This window comes from Homo sapiens, chromosome 8 (assembly GCF_000001405.40).
Source record: "Homo sapiens chromosome 8, GRCh38.p14 Primary Assembly".
NCBI classification, from domain to species: domain Eukaryota; kingdom Metazoa; phylum Chordata; class Mammalia; order Primates; family Hominidae; genus Homo; species Homo sapiens.
In genome coordinates, this window is record NC_000008.11 from 17646971 (window position 1) to 17666268 (window position 19298).

At 42.9% G+C, this 19298-nt stretch overlaps 1 protein-coding gene and 1 long non-coding RNA gene across 15 annotated transcripts in view, besides 2 other annotated features; one reads left to right on the forward strand and one right to left on the reverse strand.

Annotated features, from left to right (window-relative positions):
• Nucleotides 1-19298, reverse strand: part of MTUS1 (microtubule associated scaffold protein 1) — a 157720-nt gene that overhangs the window by 3169 nt on the left and 135253 nt on the right. For all 13 annotated transcript variants that reach the window (NR_156437.2, NM_001363061.2, NM_001363060.2 and 10 more), the window contains 6 exons: nt 8893-9095; nt 7591-7696; nt 6455-6528; nt 6216-6311; nt 2876-2992; nt 12-109 (listed from right to left, as the gene is read on the reverse strand). Coding sequence is in view for 12 of the 13 variants with exons in the window: in NM_001363061.2 (NP_001349990.1) it covers nt 12-109; nt 2876-2992; nt 6216-6311; nt 6455-6528; nt 7591-7696; nt 8893-9095 (694 nt within the window). In the remaining variant the exon portion in view is untranslated. The remainder of the gene's footprint in view (nt 1-11; nt 110-2875; nt 2993-6215; nt 6312-6454; nt 6529-7590; nt 7697-8892; nt 9096-19298) is intronic.
• LOC124901891 (uncharacterized) lies at nt 109-2987 on the forward strand. Of its 2 annotated transcripts, none has more exons than XR_007060833.1 (2): nt 109-1582; nt 1679-2987. It is a non-coding gene; the product is annotated as an uncharacterized LOC124901891 (long non-coding RNA). The 2 variants fall into 2 exon arrangements; XR_007060834.1 differs by having other exon boundaries at nt 2593-2987.
• Nucleotides 12412-12912: an enhancer, noted in NCBI's record as "H3K27ac hESC enhancer chr8:17516891-17517391 (GRCh37/hg19 assembly coordinates)". NCBI's record gives its function as "activates a minimal SCP1, AML or CMV promoter by ChIP-STARR-seq in naive H9 embryonic stem cells {active_cell/tissue: H9 hESC(naive)}" and the evidence as "EXISTENCE:reporter gene assay evidence [ECO:0000049][PMID:30033119]".
• Nucleotides 14710-15004: an enhancer, noted in NCBI's record as "tiled region #10631; HepG2 Activating DNase matched - State 5:Enh, and K562 Activating non-DNase unmatched - State 22:ReprW". NCBI's record gives its function as "activates a minimal TATA promoter and a strong SV40 promoter by Sharpr-MPRA in HepG2 cells, with weaker activation in K562 cells {active_cell/tissue: HepG2 | K562}" and the evidence as "EXISTENCE:reporter gene assay evidence [ECO:0000049][PMID:27701403]".

Below are 19298 nucleotides of genomic sequence, written 5' to 3' on the forward strand. Positions count from 1 at the left end.
TTTATTTTTACCTTGAGATTGCCATGTGCTTGTCCATCCGAGCTTTCAATTCTTCATTCTCCTGCTGGAAACGCTTCAATTTGTCAACCAATGCTGTGTTGTTGTCCACCTTGGCATAAACAAGAATTCCAACATTTATACAATATTAAAAAAAAAACCCCTCATTTCTTAAGGCACCTCACGACACAAGCACACTTTGGAGATTTAATTAAGGAAAATGCAATTCCATATTAAAATATTTATACACTAACAAACATACTGAAAAAGATTTTAAAACAGCAAAACAGAGCGGCTGGGTATTTTTAAAACATGTATGCCAGGACACTTAAATATTGATACGAGTGGGTAACAGATTTGTTCCAGGTCATGTTGTTTTGGAATTCTCTAAGAATTGGTGCCTCTTTCTGTTTCAATGTGAAATAAACCCTGCAGACACACTGCCCACACTTATCAAAGCTTATCTATCTCCTTACGGTGAATTTTGCTGGAAAAAAAAAAAAAAAGATTCCCACATCTGATGAAAACTCACAGGCCAGCAATTCACAGTCCCTGGCAACGTTTACTATGGACTTGAACTCAGTTTCATGGTAAGTTTTCAGCATTTGCGTCTGAGTGGCCATACAAAGCTTCAATTCGATAGAGCTCTTAGAGCATGCCATCAAAGAAGTAACATGCCACGAGTCTCCTCAGGTCAGCTGAAGATAGATAGGTCTGTTCTCTTGCTGCCCTGTGCAGGCTGAACTTTCAAGGCAAACAAACTGATCAGCGGAGAGATGAAAGGATAAGATGCCTGAGGACATTTAATCACTTAACATGATGAAGACCTGATTCCATCCCCCACTCACTTTCTAAAGGTAAGGCTTTATGAAGAGGCAATATTATAGCTCCGTCAGGATTAAGTCTAAGTCCTTGTCCTTGTAGCAGGACTAACGCGCTTTGAGTATGTTGCTTAGTTTGGAACCTGATTGTTCTTAAGACATCCTGTTATCCAGAAGCAGCTCAGGACAACCTGTTCAGGTTAAATCACTTTCCAGAAAAGGAGTCTACGTTCAGTAATTATGAAGGATTCCCAGATAAAACAACGTGGAAAAAAACCTGGAATTTGAGATTGGGAGGTATTGTCCTTTAAATATCTCATCCTAGGGAAACTAGTCCTAATAATGTCACAGAGCTGATTATGGGCAGTGCCGGTTTCATGGGAAAGCTGTCTTTCTTAGAAAACTTCCTGTGCTTCTAAGTCTCTTAATTTCATCAGAGGCCTGTAATTTACAAATATGAAGGGAACAGTGGGTCTCCCTCTCATTGTATCAACTCATTCTTGCACACATACACAATGCAAGGCTGAAGGATATTATCAGGATACCTCTGGGGCATGGCAAGAAACAAATAGTAGATCATCAGAAATTAAATGTGTTGGTAAGTTTACAGCAAAGTCTGATTTATTGCACATGATTTTTTGAAAGTTTTGATGCATGAATGGCATATGGAGCAGTCCTATTAACAGGATCATCTGAGTCATCCCTGACTACCAGATTAGAAGATACCAGACTCAGTCGAACAGGACGACCTTTGGCAGGAACTGGTATGTATACTAGGTTGGCCCATTAACAACCATGAGTTCCTTTCCTTCCTTTACAAAAATTTCCTGATAATTCAAAATGCTGGTATATCCACACAGGGGCTTGGCCGTTATCTCCCTCAACAGAAGTCATAGTCTCCAGAAGAAAACCAAACGCCAAACCAACACAAACCAAGCAGCAGAGAGGTCCCCCATGTCCCCTACTGTCCAGGGCTGGTTTGGGTTTGAATGAGGCACTTGTAGAAGCCTGAGTCACTCATCACTGTGGGGAGAAGAGGCCAGTAGCATGCGGCAGCTGGACAGTCAACAGCAAGGCACCGCGAGGGCGGGGATCACTTAAGCTGCCTTGCCAAACTCTGCCAACTTGGTTAGAGTCCTGGCTGGCAGCAGCTGTATTTCAGGGCCGGGCCAAGACTGACGCTGAACACTGAACATGCCACTCACACTAACATCGTTCTCTGTTCTAGACACTGCAAAGTGAATGTTAATTCATATTTTTGGTAACACCTGCTACTTGTCCAAATGGATTAATCTTATTATAGCACAATTTTTTTTTTGAGATGGAGTCTTGCTATGTCGCCCAGGCTGGAATGCACTGGTGCCATCTCACCTCAATGGAACCTCCACCTTCCCAGTACTTGGGATTACAGGCACCCACCACCACACCCGGCTAAGTTTTATATTTTTAGTAGAGACAGGGTTTCACCATGTTGGCCAGGCTGGTCTCGAACTCCTGACCTCAAGTGACCCACCCATCTCAACCTCCCTAAACTGCTGGCATTAGAGGAATGAGCCACTGCGCCCAGCCCACGATTCTTTTATCACATGCTAATTCACAAGAAGCAAGATGAAGAATTTTGATAAATAGTATTGCTATTCATTTCTATTAAATTCATTTCTATTCATTTCTATTAAACGTATCCAACTGTTTTGGATCTAAGAAACCTGTCCAGGGTGGCTGGTATATTAAAGTACTGATTTTACATAGATATTTAAACATTTTTCTTATGCAGGTGAAGATCCAAAATACCACTGAAATATAAGCCTGATTTGTTTGTAGTTTTTCCAAGGACTGGGTGCTGTTTTACATGTTCCTTGAAAAAGAAAACATTCTAGGAGGCAGCAATGAATAAATATGGAACAAACTTGGAAAGAAAATGTGAACTTTATCTTTTGTATAATTTCTAAATATCTTTAGGAGCAGTTAACCCAACTCCACAGTTCTAAAATGCAGGGCTCAATTTCACACATATTACCCCATTTGTAAGATCCTCTTTCATTCTGAAGGAAACATACCAGTTTCTCCATTTTCATTAACTTGATGTCCTGTTGATGCAGTTTCTCATTCTTGATCTCTAACACAGCTTTCAGGCTTTCTAACTCCTGTTCTAGATACATGATCTGAGGATTTTTCTGGAAAGGACACAGCAAGATACTGCTCTTATTCCACATAGTTCAAATTCTTAACAGAAAGAATCTTTGATTAGATTGAGACATTAGACAAGTAGCAAGCGACAGATGTTCATCATCTTAGAGCAATTTCAAAGAAAGAGGTGAAAAACAAGAGCACCTTAATGTCGAAGACTGGTCCTAATACTGAAAGCAAACATTTCACTTATTTATCAGTAACTTAATATGCAAAAATGTGAGTTGCATCAAACATGTTATTGTATCAAGAGAAAAACTTTGCTTACATACAAAACAGAATCTTGGCTGGAGATGAGGCAATCTGTGAGTCAGTTATTGGCATTTTCTGGGAGAACAGGGAACAACAGTTCTCTCCTACCAAACAAACTGATCAGGAAAGAAAAAGCAGTGCATTATACGGCTCTCTGGAAAACAACAGGGATAACAATGTCCTGAGTGTTTGGATTTTTGTTATGATGGGGCTACGTTGACTGGGCCATACTTCTAGGGCAGACATAATACTATCATTTTCTATTGTGACACCCCAGTACCTACACGGCATGGAGTACACAGCCTATTTAAATTTCTCTCCAAAAATTACAAGTTTGCCAGGCATAGTGGCATATGCCTACAGTCCCAGCTACTCAGGAGGCTGAGGCGGGAGGATCAACTGAGCCAGGAGGTCAAGGCTGCAGTGAACTGTGAATGCACCACTGCATTCTAACCTGGTGGCAGAACAAGATCCTGTCTCAAAAACACAAAACTCTCCAAAATAAATGCTACATCAGGGGAGGCGTCCTCTGAGAGCACACCATCAGTGTGGATTTCCCACCACCGCCCACCCACTCCTTGCTTTATTCGGAAATTCAACTAAACCATTCAAAATTTATGCTACAGAAGAACAGCATATGGTCCACTGATCAGATATGTTTAATGAAGCAACGTCTTAGGTAAGAGTCGGTGGTGTGGTCATCAAGCTTATCTTCCGGGGCATTGGTTTCTGCTCTGGACCAATCCTTAGGGAGAATCCAGGAAGGGGCCTCGGGGATTACTTAATCCAAACCCCTTACTTCACACAGAAAGAGGAAACGTGTTCCACGGGTTAAGCGCCCTACTCAGGAAAGATCAGGAAAGCTTCCAGAGCTGGAAAGGGTCAGGGCAGGGACTAATACATCTTTAATTCTAGGTTCTTTAGATAGTTCCCTGAGGCTAGGAGAGGTATGCGTGTGTATGGTGGGAGGTGGGGTGGGGTGGGATGAGGAGAGGTTGGTTAATGCATACAAACATACAGTTAGACAGAAGGAATAGGTTCTAGTGTTCAAGAACATAGTAGGGTGACTATAGTTAATAATAATATATTGCGTACTTCAAAATAGCTACAAGAGAAGATATAAAATGTTCCAAACACAAAGAAATGATAATGATGACGGATACCCTAAATACCCTGACTTGGGCATTACACAGTCTATGATTGTCTCAACACATCACACGTACCCCATAAGTACATGCAAATACTAAGTATCAATTTTTAAATTTCATACATTTTATACAGTGTTACCCTTGTACGCAGGATTTTTTTTTTTTTTTTTACCTTGAAAATAGCGAATCCTACCTCATTTTTGTTAGAGGGAAATGGCATAACTTACCGTCAGTTTTAAAATTAGAGCATTTACAAGACTTGTACCCTCTGCATTTTCTCCTCCTCCTCTGCCAGCCCATCCCTTTCTCCCGGACTACAGTCAGACGCACTCTTTTTCCGCAGCCTCAGCATGCTTACGTGACAGAAGCGGTTGGATGCTTCTGTGTTCCTCACTCTGACTCTGCCTTAGCTTTTCAAAAGCGGCTGCAGTAGAAGAATCCCCTTTGTGTACCGGAAGCTCTTTCAAACCTGTTTCCTGAGCCATCAATAAAGTTTATACCCTGCATATCCCTGCATGTAAGTCTAGATTTCTTTTGAAATCACTGACTCTTCCTAAGAATCTTCTAGAATAAATAGCTTTGAAGTTTCTTTGAATATAAGCTCATCTAATGTTATCAAATAGCTAGAGGGTCTCCCAATGACATTATTTGCAGAAGGTCTCACTGAGAGATCCACACATGTACTTTCTAGAGCTGGCCAGAGATTTGAAGTGGAGAAAAGCTTTGCTTCTGCAGTCTCAGAGTATAAACATGAAATGAAAACAGTGGTACTAAAGGCAGAAGCAGCAAGGAAACAAATTTTTTTCAAAAAGACAAAGGTTGGGGTAAGGCTGGGGAAAAAGGACAAATGTGCCACAAGAAATTTCAGCTTCCAAGAGATTTGTACTTTTCAGAATTGACATTTATCCATACGGCGAAATATTATTCATCCATAAAAAGAAATGAAATACTAACATAGGCTACACCACGGATGAACCTTGGAAACTTTATACTAAGTAAACGACGCCAGTCTTAAAAGGACCACATGTTCTACAATCAACCTTTTCTATTCATTCCTCAGAATAAGTAAATCCATAGAGATAGAAAGTAGACGGGGGAGAGCCTGGTGCTGGGGAATTTGGGGGAATGGGGAGTGACTGCTAATGGGTCCAGGGTTCCTTTTGGGGGTGATAAAAATGTTCTAGAAAGAGGTACTGGTGACCAATGGACAACTTTATGAATATACTAAAAGCCACTGAATTTTACATGTTAAAAGAGTGAACTTTTCCTGGGCAACATGGTAAAATCCCATCTCTACTAAAAATACAAAAATTAGCTGGCCATGGTGATGCGTGCCTGTAATCCCAGCTACTCGGGAGGGTGAGGCAGGAGACTCGCTTGAACCCAGGAGGTGGACGTTGCAGTGAGCCGAGATCACGCCACTACACTCCAGCCTGAGTGACAGAGTGAGACTCCCTCTCAAAAAAAAAAAAAGAAAGAGTGAACTTTGTAGTTTGTTTTATCTCAATACAGTGATTTTTTTTTTAAATAAAGTCTTCACATAAAACTCTAATCCTAATTGGTAGTTTCCTTCTTTTTAGCTTAGACCACCAGAAACATCCTGGACTTCATCCGTATGTCAGATTTTAGGATGGTAAAACAAGACGCCAGTAAGCAAAGCAGTTGTTTTACACACCTTAGAAAGCACATTGCCAGACATGAGAAGGATTCCCAACCTGTGTTATTTCTCTGGCTGCTGAGTACTTGAATGACTCTAAAAGGCAACTGAGAAGAAAAATTCCATACTGATAAAGGAGCACACACAACTTACCAAATTTGCTTTTTCTCTTGCTCTTCTTTTTTGTTCTTCTGATTTCAATTTTTCATTTAAAGCATCATTTTCACTCTTCAGATCATTGATTTGCTTCTAAAACACAATGAAATGTGGAACTTAAGTTAACAAGAAAACCCCAGAAACTCAGCATACGTACACAGAAACATTAAAACCAAACAAAATCAAAAATGATATTTTTTTTTGTGGGGGATACTGGGATATTGACATTCACCCACCTCTAGCGATTCCTGCTTCTCAGAAAGTAAATCTTCAAGCGATTTCTTTTCTATTTCATGGCCTTTCTTAATTTCTGGGAAAATAAACGGATATTTTTGAGGCAATAACATTCTATGAGATCAATGTACTCTAAAACAGTTAAAGCATATAGATGTAGGGGTTGATGATGAAGCCGTATGACGTTACTTTACATCTATAGTATGCTTTTATGTAAATTGGCCATCTGTTCTCAAAATGGCCTTGAGAGGTGGTTAGGGTAGACATTCCCATTTTATGACTGAGAGCCCTGAGGCCCACTGAAGCCCACCATGGCCCACAGAGGCCATGCGACCTTAGGACAACACTGAGTGCCATTTCAGGGCAGGCTCTCATAAATGCCACTCCAGACTCCTGGTCTGGAAACCCTGTGCTCTTTTCAATTTGCTCTTCATAACCTAAACATAAGTCTAAAATTATACTCATTTCTAGCAGGAAGGAAGAAAAACAATGTTCACTACAAGTCTGCCTGGAGCCAGTCACTTTTACACATTATCACCTCTGCCTGACTTTGGGCAACTCTATTTTTGTGGTGAGAAAGTCCTTGCTGAAGGTCACACAGCCGGTTCTTAGCACTCATCCACGCTGCTCTGTAAGATGCAACTGGTTTAGTAGAAAGACTGTGAGCGACACTGCCGATTCTGTTCTGAAAGCAATGGCTTACACCCTCCCACTGATGACAGATGAAAAATAGAAAAGACTATTTTTCTATTCAATAAGTGGCATCGACATTTCACAGCAACACTGCTGTGCAGGAGCACTTGGGGTGGATCCTTTACTGTGGATTACAAGATAGAAACTTGTACTTGCCACTTCCCAGGGACCTAAGCTGGCAACCACCACCGCCAAAATGGCCTTTACAGTCTTCCAAAGCCCATCCTATTTAACACAAGGCTGGCATTTGTAACTATTATTTGCATCCTTAGTGGGAAAAGGCATCTGTTAACAATAAACCACGCAAAAAGGAACCAAGAACACCCCAGCCTGAAGGCCACAGGGCATTCGCTGAAGCAGGAAGTTATGAATCATTTCCATCTTAAAACATCATGTGGTTCCTTCAGATTTTATTCTGTTTAAAGAGGAAAAAAAGCATCCTTGCCTGAAAGGGAGGCTTCATAGGCCTTCTTTAGCAATTCAAGTTTCTCTGAGTGGCTAGCTTCAATTTCCAACTTAGAGGTTTCATGCGCAGCATTTAAGTTGTCAAACTGTAAGCAACAAACAAAACCGTGGTTTAACAGTAAAACCAAATGTCCTAAGTTGAATACGCAAAGCAACCACATTAGGAGACGTCACAGCTTCACAGGTAAGCGTGGGCTCTAGTTTAAAGGCTCCTCAACACATACAAAGGTCAGGGCAGTGGTTCACACTTGTAACCTCAGCACTCTGGGAGGCAGAGGTGGAGGATCACTTGGAGCCCAGCAGTTCAAGTCCAGCCTGGGCAATGTCGCGAGACTCTGTCCCCACATGTGCACACACAAAGAATGCATGAAGAGCAACGCAACTGGGATTCACCGCTCAACTCTCCTCTGTCTCCTTCCCTACCCTCAGGAACACAGACACAGAGGCTCTCCAGGGTGACAGATGGAAATGGCTGCATCAGTCACAAGGAATGACCAGGAACGAGGATATGTTTCACAGTGACAGGGCCACATGCTCTGCGCCTGTCACTTGACCACTCAGGCCCTAGCATGTGCCTGGCCTGGAGTAGGCACTCTGTAGATATTTACTAAATGAAAAACTGAGTTAAAAAGGGAGCTACAAAATTAAAAAGGTTTGATATTTTATTCAGTGAAAAAAAAAATGGGATATTTAAACAGATGCCACTAAAAAAAAAAAAAAGAAAGAAATGCAAAACAATAGTTTGGCAACACACCACCAGGATGTTTACAAGGGATTATTTCTGGGTAGAAAGAAAGGGTTGTTTTTTCAATTTTATCTTTTCCTCCTCCTTTTCTTCCCTTCTTTCACTTAACATAATACATTCCTTTGGTCATAAGAAAACTATTCAATTAAAAAGATACTGTTTCCAAGGCAGGCGGATCACCTGAGGTTGGGAGTTTGAGACCAGCCTGGCCAACATGGTGAAACCCCGTCTCTACTAAAAATACAAAAATTAGCTGGGCATGGTGATGGGTGCCTATAGTCCCAGCTACTCAGGAGGTTGAGGAAGGAGAATCACTTGAACCCGGGAGGCAGAGGCTGCAGTGAGCCAAGATCAAGCCACTGTACTCCAGCCTCCAGCCTGGGAGACAGAGTGGGACTCTGTCTTAAATAAACAACAACAACATGCTTTTTATACCTATTAGACTAAAAAAGAGAAGCTCATCAAGATGTGAAGAGCAACCAGGATTCAAGTAAGCAGCAGAGGCCTCAGACAAGCTCTGGCTGCAAAAGCACAGACCTGCTCTTGCAATTGCATTTTGTACTTCTCTGCTTCTTCAATGTAAGTGTCCCGAAGCTTTTCATACTCCCTGGTGTAAAACTCTTTAAGCCGATTCTCTCGTTCTGTTTTTTCAGCCTGGTGCTGCTGGACGAATGCTTCATACACTGTTTGTAACTCATTCCTGGCTTTTTCTAATTTCTCACAGGTGGTTGAAGCAGTGACTGAAAACAGAGGAGAAAGAAGAGGGAAGAGGTCATTTTATTTGTGAAATGTCCTATATTCATTACAGTCACACACAGCTGTGATGACACCTGAAGCATACACCCATGATGTCTTGGGTCTCTAGTGACCATGTCTTCAAATATAACAGTATGGAAGTGAACTGTAAAAAGGAACACGAGGGCAGGGCGCAGTGGCTCACACCTGTAATCCCAGCACTTTGGGAGGCTGAGGTGGGGGAATCACCTGAGGTCAGGAGTTCAAGACCGGCCTGGTCAACATGGTAAAACCCTGTCTATCTTAAAAATACAAAAATTAGCCGGGCATGGTAGCAGGTGCCTGTAATCCCAGCTACTCGGGAGGGTGAGGCAGGAGAATTGCTTGAACCCGGGAGGCGGAGGTTGTAGTGAGCCAAGATCACGCCACTGCACTATAGCCGGGGTGACAGACTGAGACTCCATCTCAAAAACAAACAAACAAAACCCCCCCCCACCCCACATTCAAAAAACTGACTCCCAAGCAGTAAGAGAAGTACTTCAGAAGACCCAGGTTTCTAAGAGAAGATCCCCTCTCATGTGGTGACCAGTCAATGCAGTGGTCAAGAAAAGAGCCTTGGCCAGGCAGAGACATTTCTTAGGACAAGCGACTCCTCCCTCTCCCAGCCAGCCAGTGTGGTAGAAGCTCACACAAGAGCAGGAAAGACGAGGGATAAGAAACAAGTGGACCGGCCGGGCGCGGTGGCTCACGCCTGTAATCCCAGCACTTTGGGAGGCCGAGGCAGGTGGATCATGAGGTCAGGAGATCGAGACCACGGTGAAACCCTGTCTCTACTAAAAATACAAAAAATTAGCCGGGTGTGGTGGTGGGCGCCTGTAGTCCCAGCTACTCGGGAAGTTGAGGCAGGAGAATGGCGTGAACCCAGGAGGCGGAGCTTCCAGTGAGCCGAGATTGCGCCACTGCACTCCAGCCTGGGCGACAGAGTGAGATTCTGTCTCAAAAAAAAAAAAAAAAAAAAAAAGAAACAAGTGGACCTTAAACTTGTAGTTAATTTGAGTTGATTATAATTTGTTATTTCAAAACTAATAAAAATAAAATATTAGCCTCTATTAAACGCAAATCACCAGAGCACAAATATCTTAGGGAAAAAAAAACACATCTTAAAAGCACCCACATAGGCCAGGCACGGTGGTTTGTGCTATAATTCAAGTATTTTAAGAAGCTGAGACCGGGCGCGGTGGCTCACGCCTGTAATCCCAGCACTTTGGGAGGCCGAGGCGGGCGGATCACGAGGTCAGGAGATCGAGACCATCCCGGCTAAAACGGTGAAACCCCGTCTCTACTAAAAATACAAAAAATTAGCCGGGCGTAGTGACGGGCGCCTGTAGTCCCAGCTACTTGGGAGGCTGAGGCAGGAGAATGGCGTGAACCCGGGAGGCGGAGCTTGCAGTGAGCCGAGATCCCGCCACTGCACTCCAGCCTGGGCGACAGAGAGAGACTCCGTCTCAAAAAAAAAAAGAAGCTGATGCAGGAGAATCATTTGCACCTAGGAGTTCATGACCAGCCTGGACAACATAGGGAAACCCATCTCTTAAAATTAAAAAAAAAAAAAAAAAATTATCCAGGCATGATGGTGTGGGCCTGTAGTCCCTGCTACTGAGGAGGCTGAGGTGGGAGGATCACTTGAGCTCAGGAGATTGAGGCTGCAACTGTTGGGCAACAGAGCAAGACCCTATCTCAAAAAAAAAAAAAAAAAAAGCAATATAAAATGAAAGGTTAAAAAAATTTATATATGTATACATAGGTACATATGTGCACGTATATATGCATACATATGTATGCATGCATATATGTATATATCTATGTGTACATGTGTATATATGTACATATATGTATGCATATATACATGCATATACATATACATATATAATACATATATACACATATATACACTATATATATAGACACACACACACACACACACACACACACACACACACAGAGTCTTGCTGTATTGCCCAGGCTGAAGTGCAATGACACAATCTTGGCTCACTGCAACCTCCAACTCCCAGGTTCAAGCGATTCTCCTGCCTCAGCCTCCTCAGTAGCTGGGATTACGGCACATGCCACCACGACCAGCTAATTTTTGTATTTTAGTAGACACATGGTTTTACCATGTTGGTCAGGCTGTTCTCTAACTCCTGACCTCGTGATGCGCCTGCCTCGGCCTCCCAGTTAATATATTTTAAAAGGGCAAAGTAATCTGATACACATAATTGAAAATCAGAACATCTTAGCTCTTCCCTACAACTACCAAAAATAGAATGACTAACAATATAATACATGGCAGAACACAACCAAAGATATATGTACACACACTACAATAAATCCTAGAAAATCTTGAATTCCTTAGGAAGCCTGACTTTGGACATTCCCAGTCTTCTGTCACCGATGTGTAAATACAGGCAGACAGGGTACTACTGTAACTGTCAGGGATACACATGCTGTCCACATCCCCAGAGTACTCGTGGATTAATACGACAGGGTTGCTGGCAAATCTGTTAAATTAACCCTTACCTCTCTTTGGAAAGGAATAACATATCAGGAGTTGAAGGAAGAAGATTATTTTAGGGCACAGAAAAGGACAATTTAGATCAATAATTATTTGGCCTAAGGAACGTGAAAATGGCAGGTTCTTAGGAAGATTTCCTACAATGGTGTCAACTTGTTATCTCAGGAACCTGCCATGTGGTGGTAGAAATACCCAAGTCACTTGCCCCCAGTCAGTATTCTTTCAGAGGAAAAGGAGGCCACATTGAAATAATGGCAGGAATAGTGTCTGCCAAAGAGAACCCTTAAAAATTAAATCAATCTACAAATGTTTATTGAAGGGCAAAGATTTAACATTAAAAAAAAATCCCCAAAACAAAAACTATTTCTCGTTGCCTGGCACAGAATGGGGCTCTTTATCTTGTTTAACCCTCACAGAGGACCCTCCTAAACATATAGATAAGGAAACCGCCACAGAGAGGCTAAATCATCTGCCCAGGGGCACAGAGCTGGCAAGCGTGAGAGGATGGGTTTCGGTGAGCAGTCTGAATTCTGATTCTGCCTGCACCCAAAGCCCGTGCCCCTTCTTTTCTACCAAGCTGTTTCTTGTGCTGGGGCTGGCAAGGCGCATGATGGGGCCTCTACTGGAAGAGACAACAGACAGAGGAGAAGTGGCAGGACCAGGCCAGACCTTGGGGCCCAGGGAGTGGCACTCAGGATAGTTTACGTCCAGTCAGGGTGGACCAAAGGTTTGGTCAGATTTTTAAAACAATTAAAAAATAAATAAATAAAAACTGTGATGAGGGCTGGGCACAGTGGCTCACGCCTGTAATCCCAGCACTTTGGAAGGCCGAAGCGTGCAGATCATGAGGTCAAAATATCCAGACCATCCTGGCCAACATGGTGAAACCCCATCTCTACTAAAAATACAAAATTAGCTGGGCGTGGTGGTGTGTGCCTGTAGTCCCAGCTACTCAGCAGGCTGAGTGAGGCAGGAGAATCGCTTGAACCCGGGAGGCAGAGGTTACAGTGAGCCAAGATCGCACTACCGCACTCCAGCCTGGCGACAGGGAAAGACTTCATCTCAAAAACAAAAACAAAAAAACTGTGATGAAGCAGATACCAAATTAACCATTTTAATTATTTTTAGGTGTATGATTCAGTGGCATTGAATACACTTACATCGTTGTGTAAGCTTTGTCATCATCCATTCTCCAGAACGTTTCCCCCCAACCTGAAACTTCGTACCAATTAAACAGTAACAACCCATCCCCTCCCCTTCCCCAAGGCCCTGGCAGCGACCATTTTACTTTCTTTCTCTATGAATCTGACCATTCAGTACCTCATATACCTGGACTCAAATAGTACTTGTCCTGTTGTGACTGTTTATTTCATTTAGCGTATGTCCTCAAGGCTCATCCAAGCTGTGGGATGTGTCACAATTTCCTTCCTTTTGAAGGCTCAATATTATTCCATTGTTGGCCGGGTGCAGTGGCTCACGCCTGTAATCCCAGCATTTTGGGAGGCCAAGGCAAGCAGATCGCTTGAGTTCAGGAGTTCGAGACCAGCCTGGCCAACATGGTGAAACCCCATCTCTAGTAAAAATACAAAAATTAGCGGGGCATGATGGCGCACGTCTGTAGTCCCAGCTACTCGGGAGGCTGAGGCAGGAGAATCGCTTGAACCCAAGCAGTGCAGGTTGCAGTGAGCCAAGATAACGCCACTGCACTCCAGCCTGGGTGACAGAGCAAGACTCCGTGTCAAATAATAATAATGATAATATTCCATTGCACGTACAGATGACATTTGTGTATCCACTTACCATCCACGGACACTTGGGTTGCCTCCACCTTTGGCTACTGTGAATAATGCTGCTATGAACACCGGGGGACAAATACATGCCCGAGTCCCTGCTTTCAATTCTTTGGTGTATATACCCAGAAGGAATTGCTGACTCATATGGCAATTCTATTATTAATTATTTGAAGGACTATGGTACTCTTTTCCATAGTGGTTGAACCATTCTACATTCCCATCAGCAGTACTACACACAAGGGTTCCAATTTCTCCACATGCTCACCAGAACCTATTTGATTTTTTCAAATATATGTAACAGCCATCCTAATGAGTACATCACTGTGGTTATGATTTGGTCAGTAGATTTTCAAATTAAGCCATATGATAGAAATAAAATTGAGGCATCAAGGATGAAAATCCTATCCCAGCATGAGCAATGATGGGCGACAGAACGGTGAGCCTTGGTGATTAAGAAACTCACAAAGCAGAGAAGATAGAACCCAAAAAGACAGACGGAGGCCAGATTACAGGGGCCATCGCACGCAACTCAAGCCTTTGGGACTGAATATTAAAAGTTTCTTTTCTCCTTTAAAAGAATTTAGTGAAAGATAGTGATGGTCTTGACTGCTGGAGAACATTCTCTGCACATTCACTTTTCCTTCTATTACACTAGTAACCACAGAAGAAAAAATGACTCAAGAAGTCCAATGTTAGTCAAACGAGTAAACACTGCATTAGCTTCTGCCAAGTAACTTTCCGACTCTGAAGGCTCCTCGTGTGAATCTCGTATTAGAACTTTCTATGAAAACCTACAACAGAAACATACTTTGCAAGCCGTTGGTGAAGGTATCAAATAGCTTCTAGTCAGAGAAATTCTAGTTTCACGCAGGCTTTTCACTTGCTTCTCTTAAAATTTCCGGTATTTCCAAAGTTAAAAAATAAAAAAGCAGGAACAAGATCTGAACCCATCTGGAAGCTCATATCTGGGACAGAAACATCTAAGTGAACTCAGGGACTCAGCAATAAACAAGAGACTGCCTCCAAGCCCTGGGCTAGAAGAGCTTCGAAGCTGACGTTAATAGCAGACTACCCTGGCTGATTTTAACACATCTGTTTATGATAAAAATACTGTCGCTTTGAATATGTAATTGTGGCACATCAGCCTTTAAAACCAAATAGGATACACAGAAGTCCTTTCCTATTAGCCATGGGACAGGGCTGTTTCCCTCTATTCACCAAAAAAAAAAAAGGCAGCTCTGACGTTTTGATAAGTGAGGTGAAGAGAGGACACATGGGAAGAAACGGGAAAGAGAAAGGGAGAAAATGGGTCAGATGGGGGAACAGGAGGTTCACTGCTGTTATTGTAATAGTCCAAAGCAGCAGGCCCAGCCCCAGACAGTGACATCAGCCTGCAGCTGTGCACAGACCTTTGCTCTGTTTACTGGCCCGGTGTGCTGCTGGGGAACAGCTGGGCTGCAGTAATCGCTCACACTAATGGCTTTCGTTTGAAGGAAGTGGCCTGGGCTGCGAAGGAAACATTTATTTGGCATAAAGACTCATGAAGTATTTTTTAAAGGATGCACATGTAAACGCTGTATTAAAGGTTCTCAGAGTGCTCCTCGGCAGCTGTGACATAAACGTGTGTGTGTGGCGGTGGGGGGCGTGCATAACCCCGATTTTAGGCCATGGACTTTCCTGTGCACTGACTACAGCTTAGGAGAGATTTATGGTGCCACCTGTGTGTGCTCTCACTCCTATCCTCAGCCTAGTCTCTTCTTGCTCATTCTCCAGAATTCCACTCACTTTCAATTAATCAGACACCCCACAAAGCCAAAACCAAACATAAAATTGTTTCGAATTTGCAACAAGCAAGCATGGACATGCGAATGTTTGAAAGAAGGTATTAGACAAACACAAAGTCAAAGTAGTCTTTTTGTCCCTATTTTTTTTTTTTTTTTTTTTTTTTGAGATAGAGTCTCGCACTGTCACCTGGGCTAGAATGCAGTGGCACGATCTCGGCTCACTGCAACCTCCACCTCCCGGGTTCATGCGATTCTCTTGCCACAGCCTCCCGAGTAGCTGGGACTACAGGTGCACACCACCACACTTGGCTAATTTTTTGTTTTTTAGTAGAGATGGGGTTTCACTATGTGGGTAAGACTGGTCTCGAACTTCTGGCCTCATGATCCGCCCACCTCAGCATCCCAAAGTGCTGGAATTACAGGTGTGAGCCACTGTGCCTGGCCTCTGTTGTTTTAATCATTCCATTAGTCTATTTTTTAAAAAAGCACATATATGATTAGGAACACCAACAGACCACCATCTGTAGGAGAACTGCTGGGCAACTTTTGTATACATGTTTGTAAACCATGAAAGCTATCTCCAGCAATCTAGCTTAAAAGAGGAAATACAGTTCTCAGGATTTAAGGAAAAAGAGAAAAAAAAAAAAAGAAAAAGGAAGAAAGGAGGAAGGGAGGGAAGGGGAGGAAGGAGAAGAAGGAAAGGAAGGCAAACTCATGTACAAAAACATCTCTAAAATGTAAGGCCACATTGAGATTAGAAGTCAGTATTTTCACTCTGCAATGAATCACCCAAGAAGAATTCTAGGCCAGTGACCCTCCCTGACAGTTTAAATCATGGATATCTCAGCAAGAAAAAAAAATCGTAATCAGTGAAATGCTTTAAGTTTTGCTTTTCAAGTAATTATCAAGATGATATGTGGAAAATGCCCAGTGCCACAGTCAAACATAATCTCTGGAAAACAGAGCTGGAGTCCTCCCAGGTCCTTCATTACTTAGCCCTGCAGAACTGGAGTGGAGCCATTACTTAATTAGTCCTCATGGCTTTTTCTCAGAGGGGAAGGTCAGACTTTTATTATTTCCATCTCACAGAGACTCATTTCCCTTTGTTGATTGATAAATGTACTGTTTACAGAGAAAAGCATTACACAGCCATGGCCCGACATTGTTAATATTCTTTTGAAATGATACAGTGCTTTCCTAGTTTTTATATCTGAGTAGCATGGTTCATTATGAGACGACCAAAAATATTTTAATGCTCAAGAACATAAATAAATGTCCTAATAGGATAGAGCCAAAATTACTTGGGTTCAAATCTCAGTCACACCACTCAGCTGCTACATCACTTGAGCAAATTACTTAAACTTTCTAAGCCTACTTTTTGTTTTGTTTTGTTTTGTTTTTTTTGAGACAGAGGCTTCCTCTATCACCCAGGCTGGAGTGTAGTGGCACAATCTCAGCTCACTGCAACCTCGGCCTCCCAGGTTTAAGCGATTCTCCTGCCTCAGCCCCCTGAGTAGCTGGGATTACAGGCATGCACCACCATACCCGGCTAATTTTTGTATTTTTAGTGGAGACAGGGTTTCACTACGTTGGCCAGGCTGGTCTCGAACTCCTGACCTCAAATGATCTGCCTGCCTCGGCCTCCCAAAGTGCTGGGATTACAGGCATGAGCCACCGCACCTGGCCTAAGCCTACATTTCTTCATTTTTAAAGTGGAGATATTATTAGTCCCTTCTCTAGAAGATGAAATAGCACAGGTGAAGCACTCACCCCAGTGCCTGACCACAGTAACTTTGCAGATAAATTGTATAACTGTTACGGCTTGCAAGAGTCCATTGATTCCAGTGTGTTTGAAGACTCCTGGAAGACAGGCTTAGGGTTCCATAACAGAAATATAACAGTTAAAAAGCAGCATTGCTGGCCTCGTATTCAAATTTGATGCATATGAACACACAGACGTAGCTATTATGGTGGAGTGTACACTCACTTCAAGTCTTTCCCTTCCGCTACTATTGTTCTTGACATTATACGCAATAGAATTTTCCTAATTTGGAGGAGATTTTATGTAAATCAGAACTAAAATATAAAAAAGAAAAGTGCCAGGCAAATTTTCATAGCGCCACATAAGAGAATACCATAGAAAGAAGAGACGAACAGGAAAAAGAGATGATTCCATTCCCAAACTGCACACATACTCCTTTCCCAGACGCTCTGGCCAGCCTGCTGTGGGTGGCGACTCTCCCCCACCCCACCCCGAAATCCCCCTCTCTGCACCATCTAGGATGGAGAAGAGCAGCCTGCCTCCAGCTCTGCCTGCAGTGGGCCCCTCACTCTCTCTTGGCCGCCTGGGAAACCGGCCTCCTCCTCTCAGTTCTGGGCTCCTTCACTTCTTTCTTCAACAGTACATACCCATTACACTTCTCGGGGTAAACAGAACTGTCACTTCTCTTGTGCCCCACCCCCAGAAGCAGGAGGGGACACTACATTCTACCGTAGGAGTGTGATGATGTCATAACATTCTACTAAGGGAAATCCGAGGAAATCCGATCCTGACACACGTCCATGGCAAGCGACTATGTAGGTGACCCCCTTAAGCCAAGGTCTGATCTGGTTTGAAACTGGAGGTAGTAACATCACTGAACAAGTAACCAAGAAGTCATTTTTAAACATCAAATTGATGCTTTGTGGACAGGCAGTGGCCTAAAGAAGAAAAAAAAGGTGGGACCCAGACTATCCCACAAATAGGCATGTCCAGTTTCCTGGGCCTCCGTGTCCTGATATGGAAGGTAGGAACAAATACCACCTGTTCTGCCAACAGTATAGATTGGTGATAGTAAAGTGAAACAGAGTTACTCTTATGCTTTGTAGAAAGTCTTCCCAGCCTGTGGAATAATCCCCTACTCACATAGTGCCAGGGTTTGCCTCTCTAAAGATACTTTGTCAAATGACCAAGAAATTTTGCAGACAAGTGGTAGACCAGGTTCTTTTTCTACATTTCCAAATTATCTCCAAATGCCTTTCTGATTACTCCTGGGCATTAAATCAACAAATCACTAAGAGCTCATTTCAAAGTCTTCCATAAATCATAAATTATTAGGAACTTGCTTTTTACAAAAGGCCTGCACAATCAAATCAATCCTCCCATAAATGCCACTTCACCTTTAAAACTCAGTTCATACTTTACAAGGTGCTCTCACATTTGTTTCATTTAATGTAACAATGCTCTGAACGAATAAAATAGGTATTATCAGACATCTCATTTTACCAAAGAAGAATGGAAATAACGGAGCTGGATCTACAACTCCAGCCTCTTTGTTGTTGTTGTGTTTTGAGTAGATATGGGGTTTCACCATGTTGGCAAGGCTGGTCTCAAACTCCGGGCATCAAGCGATCTGTCCACCTCAGCCTCCCAAAGTGCTGGAATTACTGGCTTGAGCCACTATGCCCGGCCCTAGAACTCCAGCCTCTTTGAGAGCCTAACCACAGAACACCCAGCGGGATCTGACTGGCTATTTTTCCCAGCCTGAGATGTAGAAGACAAAGTTAATTCACACGTACCATGGATGCCTCAGGGTAGTAGGGCTTAATTCTCTTGTGGAAGCACTGCTGAAAAGATTCCAAGATAAGGCAGGTAAAAAAATGACCTTTCCCCCCCTATACTGGGTAGTGCTGACAAAGTGTGACTCACAGGTGGGAAGACAATTCCACCCAGCCAGCCTGTCTTCCATCTCCATCTTGGTGCCTAGGTACCAGCCGGGCCTCCCCTAAGGTTCTAGCCTCTCCCTGCCAGTGTTCCTCCTCCCACCCTTGAAGAGAAGCCTGCAAAGGCCATTTGCTGTTTTTCAGCTCATTCACTGGCCAGCATGCTGCAGAACAGATGCTTTTTTTTTTTTTTTTTTTTTTTTAAATCACAACAGCAAACACTCCGTGTATAAACGAACACATTTAGGAATAAAAGTGGGTTGGAGGCGAGAGCACAGCTGAATATCTGACAATATGTTCTAAGATTCAGGCCTGAGAAAAAGTGAGGCTGACTTTAAAGGAATCCTGTTTCAATCA